Source organism: Homo sapiens, chromosome 6 (genome assembly GCF_000001405.40).
Source record: "Homo sapiens chromosome 6, GRCh38.p14 Primary Assembly".
In the NCBI taxonomy this organism is placed as follows: domain Eukaryota; kingdom Metazoa; phylum Chordata; class Mammalia; order Primates; family Hominidae; genus Homo; species Homo sapiens.
Genome location: NC_000006.12, coordinates 53942642 through 53958220, shown reverse-complemented (window position 1 = coordinate 53958220; position 15579 = coordinate 53942642). Strand labels below are relative to the sequence as shown.

At 40.8% G+C, this 15579-nt stretch overlaps 1 long non-coding RNA gene across 1 annotated transcript in view, besides 2 other annotated features; it reads right to left on the bottom strand.

Annotated features, from left to right (window-relative positions):
- LOC101927189 (uncharacterized) overlaps nucleotides 1-15579 on the bottom strand; it is a 67686-nt gene that overhangs the window by 39447 nt on the left and 12660 nt on the right. The gene's annotated exons all lie outside the window — the stretch shown is intronic.
- Nucleotides 11412-12030: an enhancer, noted in NCBI's record as "H3K27ac-H3K4me1 hESC enhancer chr6:53810989-53811607 (GRCh37/hg19 assembly coordinates)". NCBI's record gives its function as "activates a minimal SCP1, AML or CMV promoter by ChIP-STARR-seq in primed H9 embryonic stem cells {active_cell/tissue: H9 hESC(primed)}" and the evidence as "EXISTENCE:reporter gene assay evidence [ECO:0000049][PMID:30033119]".
- Nucleotides 12031-12650: an enhancer, noted in NCBI's record as "H3K27ac-H3K4me1 hESC enhancer chr6:53810369-53810988 (GRCh37/hg19 assembly coordinates)". NCBI's record gives its function as "activates a minimal SCP1, AML or CMV promoter by ChIP-STARR-seq in naive and primed H9 embryonic stem cells {active_cell/tissue: H9 hESC(naive and primed)}" and the evidence as "EXISTENCE:reporter gene assay evidence [ECO:0000049][PMID:30033119]".

Here is a 15579-nt window from a genome sequence, read left to right as displayed (position 1 = left end):
GGCCAAGGCGGGAGGATCATGAGGTCAGGAGATCAAGACCATCCTGGCAAACATGGTGAAACTCTGTCTCTACTAAAATACAAAAAATTAACCAGGCATGGTGGTGCGTGACTGTAGTCCCAGCTACTCAGGAGGCTGAGGCAGGGGAATTGCTTGAACCTGGGAGGCAGAGATTGCAGTGAGCTGAGATCGTGCCACCGCACTCCAGCCTGGTGACAGGGCGAGACTTCATCAAAAAAAAAAAAAGCCCAACAGAACATTTGTGGAGGTAGATTAAGAAGAATGAAGAATTACCATAGGGCAGCCTGTGTTTGGTTTAAGTACTTGGTCAGCAGAGTCAGCTGCCTAGATCTCAGTCCCAACTTGACCACTTACTAGTTCTATGATCCTGGGCAAGTTACTTAATCTCTCTGTGCCTCAGTTTCCTAATTGTAAAATGGGTTTCTTTTCAAGTACAGTGTACACTCACTCCCGGCAATATGACTGCTAGACATGAAGTGAAACCTTACCTTACAGAGCTTACAGAAAAACCTGGAGAAAATTAATTGGCCAAGCACCAGAGCCTGGAGAATGTCTGGGCCCAAGTCAAGAAGGACACATAGGAGACTGGGTAAGAGAACCATGACTTTCAACGCTGAGATTCTCAAGGCTGACATCTACAGTGAGTAAAATAGAGCCTCTCTAACCTCCATCCCTCATAGAGAAAGCAAGTAGTAATATTCACTTGGTTATTTTTGCCTTGTCTCTGGTAAACTGGCAGGAGTGGGGCTATCTTTTCTGCAAAATTAGTAACTACAATATCATAACAAACTGGGTTTGGGTCTGGAATTCACACTACTTTCATGGTTACTGCAAACCCCCAATATGAAAATTTAGCTTAAAGAGATCCCTGACCCAAGTACTTCAAATTCAGAACCTCAAATATCTCTCACAGATAAAGGTTTAAAGAAAAAAAAATTCAGACCTTACAATTAAAAACCAGAAAACACAAAGGAAACAAGTCACTTGAGTGAGAATCAGCAAAGTGATATATCCCAAGAGTAGACTCACAAACACTTCAAATGCTGGAATTATCATAGAAAATCAAAAAAGTGAGAGTTAGATCTGAAGAATTTATCTAGAAGTCATCAGAGAGAAATGAAGTGATGGAAAGATATGAGGAAAAAGTGAGAAGGCACAATAGGCAATTCAGAAGGAGGTAATTGAGAGAATGAGGAGGGCAACAATCAAAAGACAGCACCTGACAACTTCCTAATACTGATGCAAGAGTCCAGTCCTCCCATCAGGAAGCCAAGCAGGCTGAATACAGAGAAATGACACTTAGATATGTTATCATGAAACTGTAAGACACTAGAAGAGGAAAAAGACACCAAAAGCTGTTGGAGAGAAAAGATAAATTATCTACAAAGAATTTACAGTTTGATTAATAGCTAAATTCTCACAGAATAATGAAGCCAGATGCCTGTGATATAATATCTTCAAAGAGCTGAAAGAAAATAATGTCAATCCAGAAATCTAAATCCAGTGTTCAGAGCTGGTGCACAGTAGAACAGCTACAACAGACATTAAAATGTTGAGATCTCTGTCCTTACTGGCTGGTAAAGAGCTGCCAAACTGAGCCCGCCCTCTGACCAGGCACCCACCACATGGCTGCCACCACTGCCCCCTCCCTGGGCTATCCCCTATCTAGCAACTAAATGTCAGTGAGCCGTACAATGGGGAGCCTACAGAACCATTACACTCTCACTAGCCCTCCTTTCTTGGTTCTCACTTGTCCCTCTCGGTCCTTATTTCCTCCTGACTCGAGCAAGCCTACTCAAAGATGGAGAAGATGGCAGCCTTTGGACGGTGCAGGCAAGTGCCCAGAGCCTATGTGGTTCCCCAGGCTGCAGCTGCCCACCGCTAACAAGCTCTCCTTCAGAGCTGCTCTTCTGTAGCCACTGGGGGGAGCTGCAGCCCCTGTGGATTTTGCCTCCAGGAAAGTTGGAAAGGGACAGGAGGACAGCAAGGTAATAGGGACTTCCCAGCTGTCACACAGCCTGGGCTCTGCTGGTACAGCAGGCATTCCCATGGTGAGAATCTTTAATGATGGTAGATCCAGCCTATAAATTAAATCAGTAGTTACAGTCTTCCCACAGAGAACACAGAACCCAGAGGGCTTACAAGTGAGCTCTCCTGAGTATTCAAGGAACACATAATTCCAAGCTTATACTAGTTCTTTCAAAGAAAGAACAACAGGAGACACTCCCCAACTCATTTAATGAGGTTTGTGTAAACATGCTGTCAAATCAGACATGGACATTATACAAAAGTTAAATTCCAGGCCATTTAAGAACGTAGATGCAAAAGCTCTAAATAAACCAAATCAATAAATGTATAAAAGTGATAATGCACATAATCAGGTAGAATTTATTCAAGGTGCAAAATTGGTTCAACATTAGAAAAACCTAAGAATGTAACTCACCACAATAACAGATTCAGAGAAACCGTATGATCATCTTAATAGATTCAGAATAAGCTCTAATAAAACTCAATAACACTTTATGATGTTTTTAAAAAATCTCTTAGCAAACTAGGAATAAAAAGGAATTTGCTTGATCTGATAAAGCATACCAATTTTAAAAAACATGCAAATATTTTGCTTAGTGCAAAACATTAAATGGATTCCCTTTAAAATCAGAAACCAAAGCCTAATTGCTATTTTATATTTATTGTATTGGAGATACTTGCCAGTGCAAGACAAGGAAAAGAAATATAAGGTGTAAGGATCAAAAAGAATGAAATCTCTCATCATTTGCTAATAATATGATTATCTACATGGAAATTTGAAAGAATTTATATATAAAAAGCTAAAAATTAACGAGTTTAGCAAGTCTGCAGGGTGTAGGATCAATGCACAAAAACTTATTTTATAAAGCCATCCACAAATAAAAAGCAATTTAAAAGAAGATACAACTGGGGACTCTGCTTCTAATAAAAGCAAATCAGATGAATTTAATTTGCACTCGCCATCCTCTTAAAAAAACTAGAAAATCTGTACCAAATATATAATGTCTTGTAGCTCAGAGGGCAATAACATAGTAAAGGGTTCTCTGCAAAAATATTTTTAAGATGTGGCAAACCACAGTGGTCACCAGGAATAGGGATTCAGAAAGGCAAAACATAAAAGGATGGGGAAAATCTTAGTGTGCTCTATTAATATCACACAAAGTAGACATTAAAGTAAAAAAAAGACTTTAAGAGGCAATGAGGGTCATTTCATAATGATAAACACGTATTTAATGAGAAAGAGTAAAGTTTAAATAATAATATGGACTCACACTGCTGCCTGATTCCATTTCTATAAAGTGCTAAATCATATTATTTAGAAATTCTTACAGAAGTGACAAAATTGTGGAAGGACAAGAGGGAGAAAAGGAAGTGAGGCAGTTTTCTAAGGTCCGAATAATGATTGTGTTTCAGGTAGAGGAAGTGGGTTGTGAACAGGCAGAGGCACTCAGCAAGCTTCAGGCAATGTTCTGTTTCTTAACCTGAGCAGTGATTATATGCGTGTTTATAATAATTCATTAAGCCATGCAATTTTTATGTATGTCTTTTATAAGAACAAGGTTTAGAAATTGACACTTGTAACAGCTACAAAAATAAAGCTTTTGCAGAAAATTATAACTCTATGGAAAGGTATTAAAAAGACCTAAGTGGAAAAACATGGATAGAAAGATTCAATTCTGTGAAGATATCAATTCCATCCAAATTATCATATAGATTTAATGTAATATACATTGAAACCCAAACATGTATAAATTACAAAATCAACCTGACAAGTTGATTTTGTAATATATATGAAAGAGAGAAGAATGCTTAAGTCAAGGTTCAAACAGAGAAGCAGAGGAAGAAATATATATATATATATATGAATATATATGTGTGTGTGTATGTATACACACATACATACAGAGAGAAATACAGAAACAGAGAGGCAGACAGGGACAAAGAGAAACAGCGAGAGACACAGAAATTTATTGCAAGGAATTGGCATACATGATTGCAGGGGCTGGTTAAACAAGTCCCAAATGCATGCAGAAAGTCGTCATGAGCACAATGAGACTTCACAGGAACAAGCCACAGCTCTCATCCACAGGTGGAATTTCTTCTCTCTCCTGGGGAAACCTCAGTCCTGCATTTAAGGCCTTCTAACAATTCAATCAGGCCTACCCAGATAATCCAGAATAATCTTCCTTACTTGAAGTCAACTGACTTAAGAGCTGTAATTCCATAGGCCGAATTCTTTCACAGCAGTACCTGGATTATGTTTGTATAACTGGCCTGTAGCCTGACCAGGTTGACAGATCAAAAGCGCCATCACAAACAGACAAGGCCTATCTACCAAAATAGGTAGACTTGACTCCCCAGGTATCCAGGCTTATAACACTATATTAATTAGGACCATAGAATCCTGGGTGGACTCCAACTAAAGAGATACAGAGATGTACTCTTCTGGCATGCCATGCTTCCTGTCCCGAATCCTGGTGCCAGGACAGCCTCTTCAGATATGAAATGCTTACCTGATCAAGCATTTTGGGTATTATACACACAAACATGCACACACAGACATTCCACATGGATTAAGAAATTAAAATGTTAAATGTAATTTTTTAAATATTTAGTAGAGCATCTAGGAGAATGGATTTATGACTTCAGAGAAGGGAAGGATTTCTTAATGCAAACCATAAAGGAAAGCATTGGTATATTTGACTACATTAAATTTTTAACAACTTCTGTATATCCTACTCATCAAAGACGTCACCAAGTTAAAAGACAGGCCACAAACCAGGAGACAACATTTGCAATACACTTGACAAAGTACTTCAAATAAGAAATGCCTATTACATAATGAGAACAATAAACTCCATAAAAGCAGGCAAGACAGGAATAGGAATTTCACAAAAGAGGAGAAGAGTACCTATAATTCCTAAAAAGAGACTCAACCTTATGAAGTCAGGAATTGGATTAGTCAGGAAATGCAAATTAAATATCAGGTATAATTTCATATATTTATTGTGAGAGATCAGACATCATTTCACAAATATATTGTGAAATATGCATATATGCATGACCACCAGATTGAAAAAAAGATAAAAGATAGTACTGACAGTAAGAAAGGATATGTAGCGATAGGAATTCTTAAACACTGCTGAAGTGATTATTAATAGGAAAATACATTGAAAAATATTTTGGTGTCCCTTAGTAAATTGGGCATGCATTTATTCTTCCACTCAGTATTCCTATTTCAAGGATTGTAACCAAAGAGAAACTCTTGCAGAAGCACTTCAGAAGCCGTGTTTAAGAATGATCATGGCCGGGCGCGGTGGCTCACGCCTGTAATCCCAGCAGTCTGGGAGACCGACGTGGGCGGATCACCTGAGGTCGGGAGTTTGAGGTCAGCCTGGCTAACATGGTGAAACCCCGTCTCTACTAAATATACAAAATTAGCTGGGCATGGTGGCACATGCCTGTATTCCCAGCTACTCGGTAGGCTGAGGCAGAAGAATCGCTTGAACCCAGGAGGCGGAAGTTGAGGTGAGCCGGGATCACACACCACTGCACTCCAGCCTGGGCAACGGAGTGAGACTCCATCTCAAAAAAAAAAAAAAAAAGAATAATGATCATAGGCTGTCTGTGGTGGTTCACAACTGTAATCCCAGCACTTTGAGAGGCTGAGGTGGGAGGATTGCTTGAAGCCAGGAGTTTGAAACTAGCTTGAGCAACAAAGTGAGACTCCCATCTCTACAAAAAAATAAAAAATAAGAAAAAGAATAATCATAGAAGCAGCATTCATAATAGAAAAAATATCTTGATGTCAATCATGAGTAGAACTAATATATTAGTTTTGATACATTCATGCTACAGAACATTATACAGTGGTGAACAAAAGGCCAACTACCAATATTAACATGATGAATCTCAAAAATATATGTGTAAGCACAAGATACAAAAGAGCACAGACTATACATTATATAAACATCAAAAACAGGCAGAACTAATGTGTCAATTAGTGGAATATGTATGTGAGTTAAAACTAAAAAGAGAAGCAAGAGACGGATAAAAATTCTGGAGACTTGCCCTGTCTGGAGTGTGGGCAGAGAAGGGTACATGATCAGTTAAGGCAGACAGAGGAATTCGGAAACATTGACAATGTTCTGTTTCTTGAGATGGATGGGATGTATGTGGGTGCTTATTAGATTTCTATTATTATTCTTTTAAATAAAAATTAGCTATGTGTGCATTACATTTTTTAATAACTTTTAAGTTCAGGACTACATGTGCAGGATTGTTATATAGGTAAACTTGTGTCATGGGGGTTTGTTGTACAGATTATTTCATCACCGAGGTATTAAGCCTAGTACCCATTAGTTGTTTTTCCTGATCCTCTTCTTCCTCAAACCCTCCACCCTCCAATAGGTCCCAATGTCTGTTGTTGCCCTCTATGTGTCCATCTGTTCTCATCATTTATCTCCCCCTTATAAGTGAGAATATGTGATATTTGGATTTCTGTTCTTATATTAGTTTGCTAAGGATAATGGCCTCCAGTTCCAGCCATGTCCCTGCAAAGGACATAATCTCGTTCTTTTTTATGGCTGCATAGTATTCCATGGTGTGTATGTACCACATTCTCTTTATCCAGTCTACCATTGAAGGGCATTTAGGTTGATTCTATGTCTTTGCTATCGTGAATAGTGTTGCAAGAACACACGCATGCACTTGTCTTTATGATTAAACAATGTGTATTCCTTTGCTTATATATCCAGTATTGGGATGGCTGGGTGGAGTGGTAGTTCTGTTTATAAGTCTTTGAGGAATTACCACACCACTTCCCATGATGGTTGAACTAATTTACACTCCCACCAACAATGTATAGTGTCTCCTTTTCTTTGCAACCTCACCAGCATCTATTTTTTTTCACTTTTTAATAATAGCCTTTCTGACTGGTGTGAGATGGTATCTCATTGTGGTTTTGATTTGCATTTTTCTAATGATCAGTCATGTTGAGCTTTTTTTCATATGCTTGTTGGCTGCATGTGTGTCTACTTTGGCAAACTGTCTGTTCATGTCCTTTGCCCAGTTTTAATGAGGTTATTTGTTTTTTTCTTGCAAATTTGTTCAAGTTCCTTATAGATGCTGGATATTAGGCCTTTGTCAGATGCATATTTGCAAAAATTTTCTCCCATTCTGTAGGTTGTCTATTCACTCTATTGATAGTTTCTTTTGCTGTGTAGAAGCTTTTTTGTTTAATTAGATCCTATTTGTTAATTTTTGCCTTTGTTTCAGTTGCTTTTGGCATCTTCGTTATGAAATTTTTGCCTGCTCCTATGTCCAGAATGGTATCGCCTGGGTTGTCGTCCAGGGTTTTTATAGTTTTGGGTTTTACATTTAAATCTTTAATCCATCTTGAGTTGATTTTCGCATATGGTGTAAGGAAGGGGGTCCAGTTTTAATCTTCTTCATATGGCTAGCCAGTTATCCCAGCACCTCTTATTGAATAGAGAGTCCTTTGTCCATTGCTCGTTTTTTTCAGGTTTGTCAAAGATCAGATAGTTTTATGTGTGAGGCATTATTTTTTGGGTTTTCTATTCTGTTCCACTGATTTATGTGTCTGTTTTTGTACCAGCATCACGCTGTTTTGGTTACTGTAGCTCCGTAGTATAGTTTGAAGTTGCGTAGCATGATGCCTCCAGCTTTGTTCTTTTTGTTTAGGATTGCCTTGGCTATTTGGGCTCTCTTTTGATTTCATATAAATTTTAAAATTATTTTTTATAATTCTGCGAAGAATGTCATTTGTAGTTTTATACGGATATAGCTTTGAATACTTTGAATCCATAAATTGCTTTTGGCAATATGGCCATTTTAATGATATTGATTCTTTTCATCCATAAGCATGGAATGTTTTTCCATTTCTTTGTGTCATCTCTGATTTCTTTCAGCAGTGTTTTATGGTTCTTATACAGATCTGTCATCTCCCTATTAGCTGTTTTCCTAGGTATTTTATTCTTTTTGTGGTAATTGTAAATGGAATTGCATTCCTGATTTGGCTCTTGACTTGATGGTTGTTGGTGTATAGGAATGCTAATTTTTGTACCTGATTTGGTATCTTGAGATTTTGCTGAAGTTGTTGGTCAGATCAAGGAGCTTTGGTGCACAGACTATGGGGTTTTCTAGGTGTAGAATCATATTGTCTGCAAACAGAGATAGTTTGACTTCTTTTTTTTCTATTTGGATGTGTTTTCTTTCTTTCTCTTGTCTGATTGCTCAGGCTAAGATTTCCAGTACTATGTTGAATATGAGTGGTGAGAGAGGGAATCTCTGTCTATTTCTGATTTTCTGTCTAGCTTTTTCCCATTCAGTGTGATTTTGGCTGTGGGTTTTTCCATAGGTGGCTCCTATTATTTTGAAGTATGTTCCTTCAATGCCTAGTTTGTTCAGAGTTTTTAACATGAAGGCGTGCTGAATTTTATCAAAAGCCTTTACTGTATCTATTAACATGTGGTTTTTGTCCTTAGTTCTGTCCATGTGATGAATCACATTTATTGATTTACGTGTGTTGAACCAACCTTGCATCCCAGGGATAAAACCTACTTGATGGTGGTGGATAAGCTTTTTGATGTGCTGCTGGATTCATTTGCTAGTATTTTGTTGAGGATTTTTGCATCAATGTTCATCATGGATATTGGCCAAAGTTTCCTTTTTTTGTTGTGTCTCTGCCAGGTTTTGGTATCAGAATGATGCTGGCCTCATAGAATGAGTTAGGGAGGAGTCTCTTCTCCTCAATTTTTTGTAATAGTTTCAATAGGAATAGTACCAGCTCTTATTTGTACATCTGGTAAGATTTGGCTGTGAATCCATCTGGTCCTGAGCTTTTATTTGGTTGGTAGGCTATTTATTAGTGATTCAATTTCAGAGCTCGTTATTGGTCTGTTCAGAGATTCAATTTTTTCCTGGTACAGTTTTGGGAGGGTGTATGTGTCTAGAAATTTATCCATTTCTTCTAGATTTTTCTAATTTGTGTGAATAGAGGTGTTCATAATATTCTCTGATGGTTATTTGTATTTCTGTGGAGTCAGTGGTAATATCCCCTTAGTCATTTCTAATTGTGTTTATTTGGATCCTCTCTTTTTTCTTATTAGTCTAGCTAGTGATCTATTTTATTAATTTTTTTTAAAAAAGCAACTATTGGATTTGCGGACTTTTGAATAGTTTTTCTTGTCTCAATCTCCTTATGTTCAGCTCTGATTTTGGTTATTTCTTGTCTTCTGCTAGCTTTGGGGTTGGTTGGCTCTTGGTTTCCTAGCTGTTTTAGTTTTGATGTTAGTTTGTTAAATTGGGATTTTTCTGTTTGATATGGGCATTTAGCACCATAAATTTCCCTCTTAGCACTGCCTTAGCCATGTCCCAACATTCTGGTATGTTGTATCTTTATTCTCATTAGTTTCAAAAAACTTCTTGATTTCTATCTTAATTTCATTATTTACCCAAAAGTCATTCAGGAGTAGATTATTTGATTTTCATGTAATTGTATGGTTTTGAGCTATTTTCTTTGTTTTAATCTCAAATTTTATTCTGCTGTGGTCCGAGACAGTGATTTGTTATAATTTCAGTTCTTTTGCATTTGCTGAGGATTGTTTTGTGTCCAATTATGTGGTCAATTTTAGAATATGTGCCATGTACAGATGAGAATGTATATTCTGTTGTTTTCGGATGGAGAGTAGATGTCTATCAGGTCCATTTGATCCAGGGCTGAATTCAGGTCCTGAATATCTTTGTCAATTTTCTGCCTTGATGATCTGTCTAATACTGTCAGTGGGGTGTTGAAGTCTCCCACTATTATTTTATGGGAGTCTGTCTCTTTGAAGGTCTCTAAGAACTTGCTTTATGAATCTGGGTGCTCCTGTGTTAGGTGTGTACATATTAAGGATAGTTAGCTCTTCTTGCTGAATGGAGCCTTTAACATTATGTAATGCCTTTCTTTGCCCTTTCTAAACTTTGTTGATTTAAAGTCTGTTTTGTCTGAAATTAGGGTTGCAACCCCTGCTTTTTTCTATTTTCCATTTGTTTGGTAGATTTTTCTCCATTCCTTTATTTTGAGCCTATATATGTCATTGCATGTGAGATGGGTCTGTTGAAGGCAGCATACCAATTGGTCTTGGTTCTTTATCTAGCTCGCCACTCTGTGCCTTTCAATTGGGGCATTTAGCCCATTTACATTCAAGATTAGTATTTATATGTGTGGATTTGAGCCTATCATCATGATATTAGCTGCTTATTGTGCAGCCTTGTTTCTGTGGTTGCTCTAGAGAGTCACTGGTCTATGTATTTAAATGTGTTTTTGTAGTGGCTGGTAATGGTTTTTTCTTTCCATATAGGGCTTCCTTCAGGAGCTCTTGCAAGGCAGGCCTGGAGTTGACAAATTCTCTCAGTATTTGCTTGTCTAAAAGGATCTTATTTCTCCTTTGCCTATGAAGCTTAGTTGGGCTGGATATGAAATTCTGGGTTGGAAATTCTTTTCTTTAAGAATGTTGAATATTGGCCTCCAATCTCTTCTGGCTTGTAGGGTTTCTGCTGCGAAGTCTGCTGTTAGTCTGATGGGCTTCCCTTTCTAGGTGATCTGACCTTTCTCTCCAGCCACCTTTAACATTTTTAATTTTATTTTAACCTTGGAGAATCTGATGATTACATATCTTGGGGATAATCTTCTTGTGAAGTATCTTACTCGGGTTCTTGGCATTTCCTGAATTTGAATATTGGCCTCTCTAGCTAGGTTGGGGAAGTTCTCATATATGATATCCTGAAATATGTTTTCCAAGTTACTTATATTCTCCCCATCTCTTTCAGGGACACCAATTAGTCATAGATTTGATCTCTTTACATAATCCTGTATTTTCTCAGAGGTTTTGTTTGTTCCTTTTTATTCTTTTTTCCCTATGCTTGTCTGACTTTCTTATTTCAGAAAACCAGTCTTCAAGTTTGAGATTCTTTCCTCAGCTTGGTCTATTCTGCTATTAATAATTGTGATTGCATTATGAAGTTCTTGTAATGTGTTTTTCAACTCTATCAGGTCAGTTACATTATTTTCTATAGTAGCTCTTTTGTTTGTCAGCTCCTGTATTTTTTTATTGTGATTCTTAACTTCCTTGGACTGGTTTTCAATGTATTTCTAAAAACAATGATCGTTGTTTCTGTCCATATTCTGAATTATATTTCTGTCATTTCAGCCATCTCAGCCTTGTTCAGAATCCTTACTATCCTTGAGATAACGTGGTTGTTTGGAGGAAAGAAGGCACTCTGGCTTTTTGAGTTGTTAGAATTCTTGTGCTGGTTCTTTCTCATCTTTGTGGGCTGAAGTTCCTTCAATCTTTGCAGTTGGTGACCTTTAGATGTTTTTTTTTTCTTTTATCTTTATTTGATGACCTTGTGGGTTTGATTGTGCCATAAGTTAGTCAGTCAACTGGCTTCATTTCTGGAAGATTTTAGGGTGCCAACACTCACTTCCAAACTCCTGGACTGTGTGTTCTAACTCTGGGGGACTTGTATCAAGCCTGACTTTGTTCTCTGACTCCTTAAGGTTAGGAATTATCTGCACTATGGAAGCCAAGGTGCTCCTAGACCACTGGTCACTACACCTTGATGTGTGGTGTCAGCTAAAGGGTTTTGTAGTGTGGTGGCAGTGAGATCCATCCTCGTTTCCATGTGCCAGCAGCAGTGGGAGTGACAACACAGCAGGGTACACACTCGCTGTCTGCAGCAGGGTACTAGTGGGTCCCAGGGTGCCTGCCTCCATGTGGGCACTCACAACGGTGGTGGAGGCAGCATGGCTCAGGGGGCAGGGGGCCCCTGTTGGTGGCTGCCCACAGATGCACTGGGAGTGATGGCATGGGGTCAGGGCACTGGTGGGCACAGGTATGTGTGCACTCTCTGTGAACCACATTCAGGGGTGGTCACTCAGAGGTGAAAGAATCTGCTGTTCTCTGTTCCTAGTTTCACTCCTGAGGCAGTATTGGTGCTGCCTGAGGCAGTAGACTGCTGGTGGGGGTGGGGCTGGCTAGCTGTGTGCCCACCCAGTCTCCAACTGCAATGGCAGTTCCTCTGTGGGGGTGGTGGTGCGGAGTGCACTCCCACCACAACAGTGGCAGGACAGGGTACATGCACACATACACACTGGCAGGGCAGGAAAGGCGACCCCCTCACCCCACTGCATACACACCCCAGCAAAGCAATGTTGGGGGTTGTCCATGGGCCTGGGGGAAGCTGCAGTGGAGGGAGGGAGTGGGCGGGCTGGTGCATGGCCATGGGGGCCACCCTGCTGGAGCTCTCTGCTTCTCAGGCACTGTCTGCCAGCACAGGAGTTAGGATATAGGCCCCCAGGGCACCTGAAGCTGCCTGGCAAGCAGGCATGGCCAACCTGGGGCCCAGGGAGAGGCCAACAGACCACGGGTGCTCAGGTTGGACTGGCTCCATCTGATGGGCAAGACTGCCCTGCAGAGTTCAGGTTTGACAGTTCCTCTAGGGCCAGAGTCTCTTCTGGGAGCAAGTCAAGTCTAGGGGGATGAGTGTCACTGGCCGTGCTCTGCTACAGACGCTGCTGCACTAAACCTTTGGGCTCCACATCAGCTGGTGTGCCGCCCCTACCACTTCTCTAAGCAGTCTGTTTGCCAACTCTGTGTGGCAAGTGTCTGTAGTGGTCAAGGGGATTCCTCCTGCCAGGATTCCAGAGGCCTATGGCGAGAGTGGGTTGCTCCTTACCAGTTCAATTCAGTCACTCCCGTGGAGTCATTGCAGGCCAGGAATGAGTCCTGGTACATGGTAACCCCATGCAGGGTTCCCAGCTTCCTCCACTTTCAGCCCAGCTTCTGAGTCTTCCCTCTGTTAACTCTCAGTGCCATCCCTCTGAAGATCTGTTAGGAGTGTGCCAGTCATCTGGGTCCCTCAGTGGCAGCTGTTCCACCTGTCTGCATAGTCAGCCATCTTGCCCAGTACCCTCACGTATTTCTTTTTTTTTTTTTTTCTTTTTTGAGATGGAGTCTTGCTCTGTCACCCAGGCTGGAGTGCAGTGGCACGATCTCGGCTCACTGCAACCTCCGTCTCCCAGGTTCAAGCAATTCCCCTGCCTCAGCCTCTGGAGTAGCTGGGATTACAGGTACACACCACCATGCCTGGCTAATTTTTTGTATTTTTAGTAGAGGCAGGGTTTCACCATATTGGCCAGACTGGTCTCGAACTCCTGACCTCAGGCAATCCACCCGCCTCCACCTCCCAAATTGTTGGGATTACAGGCGTGAGCCACCGTGCCCAGCCACCCTCACATATTTCTTGATATAAACATAAGTTTAGAGGTAAGGCATATGCCTTAGAAAGGTTCGTTGTTGGCAGGCTCCAGAAGCAACATGCTAGAGAGAGCAGAGGCCTCCTATCGCATTCCCAGAGGATGGTGGGGGTTGTGGCCCCACTCCCAGTTCAAATAAGTAGCCCTTTCACAAAGCTGTTTCTTTCTGACTCACTCCCACTGAGCCTGCCCTCTAAAATCAAGACCTCAGTCCCTGAAGCCAAGCTTGCCCATATTTAATTTCATAGCAACAGGAGTATTTATTCCACATATACCTTGTGGTGAAAGGAAGCCATTTTGCAATTGATTTGTAGGAAAATGAAGGCGATGTTCTAGCCGCTGACATCACTATCACTCCCATACCTGTGCAGCCACTAGCAAACCTCGGCTGTAATATTCCAGGTTGCCAGTTTTCTTCCACTTGGCTCCTTTTAGCAGCCCAGCTAAAGCTACGTCTGAAGATATTTTATCCTCTTGGCATTTTAGCTTAACATGGATTTCAGATCAAGACACTTTGCCAGGGAGAACATGGGGTTTAAAGCCAAACTCCTCAGGAGGTTTTGGTCTTAATCAGAGTGTCTTCTGTACTTCATGAGATTCTCACTACCTGAATAGATTCCCCGTGATTCTGTTTGCTTTCCTCTCCAAAAAGCTGCAGAGAAGGAGCGAAAAATAACACATATTCCTAATCTTGAGATGTCTGAAGCATGAAAGATACTTTTATGAAATACTATTAAAGTGCATGAGAAAGTAGCTAACAAGAAAATAGGCTCAGTTCTTAATTTCCTTGCGTCGTATTTTTTTACTCTTAGCAAATAATGCCTTTGTTCCCAGCACAACCTCAGTTCCAAAAGCACGTCATTTTGCCTTCCAATTTTCTTTCCTTTAATTTTGGCAAAAATTACTGGGAATAATAAACATGCCACTGTCTTCACAAGTTAAAAATATAAGTGAAAAAATTTAATTGACTTATTGAACAAGCCTGATGTGGGGAAATGTAATCATAAAACAGTTTTATGTTTATGTTCTGTGCTTCCCCCAGGCCCTTGGTGAGAATGCAGGCTGTTCTTATGATTTTTCTGGTCACTCATAGCTAATGCAAACATCCTCAATGCAGAAATCTGAAACTACGGGACTTTATCGGAATCCAAGCAGGCACAGGATGTACAATTGTGCCTTCTCCCCTTCCTCCAGTGAGGCCTGGCCCTGGGCAGGACTCCAGTCCTGCAGAAAGGGCAGTGTCAGCATCTCTCCCCTTTCACCAGCCAGCATTTCTCCTCTGCTTCTGCCAGATTTCTTGCCTGGTGTTGGACTGCCCCTCTGTTGTTGAAGAGAGAGGGAGGGGAGACAAGGGGGGAAGGAAAGTTCTCCCAATTGGCACTATTGTAAGCTGGCTTCATGCATTCTGAGCCTGGCAGTGAAGTAGAGCTGTTTCTCTTGCTGGAGCTTTTGTGGAAGTTTTTGGCATCAATGTGGATCTTTCCCTGCAGTTCTCTTGACCCAGGCTTGTGCATCTCTATCCCAGCTGGTTGTTTGAGGTTCTTAGATATCCAGTTCCATCTTCGGCTTCTCTCTGCTGAGCTGTATTAGCCTCTCCAAGTAGCCCCCTTAGGACTTGAAGTGACCCCATGCTGCATCTTTCATTTGCACCTGGATGTCATCCAGGGGAAAACTCCTGACAACCTCTGGAAGGTCTGGTCCATCCCAACCCTGAAGCCGCTCTGCTTCACAGCTCTGCCCAGCCACTATCTGGACCTTCACTCAGGACAGCATCAGTCTTCAGGCCATGCTGACCCTATAACTCGAAGAGGCACATATCTAGCTCTCTGGGGGTGGTCTGTTGAAGCTTCTGCAGGGCTTGAAGATGGGACAGGCACCCCTCACTCCTCCTCCCTGGTGGGGGTTGCTGAGGCAAGGGCTGACTCACAGCACACTTGCAGCTCTTTGTACACAGCCTCCCCAACTCTCTTATCACCCAATATCTCACACCTTTGGTGTATGAACAAGGTTTAGAAGTTATCAGTCCAGCTCTGACCCACTCACTTTTGACAAATCTTACAAAAGGGGATGGTCTCTCACACAACTAACTTCAAAAAGGATCTCATACAAACATTTCATTTAACATCCTATTCCACCCAGTAAAGAGCAAGGTGACTGCATCTTTGTGCAGAGCAACTGGACATACAATTTAAGAAAAGAAATGACAG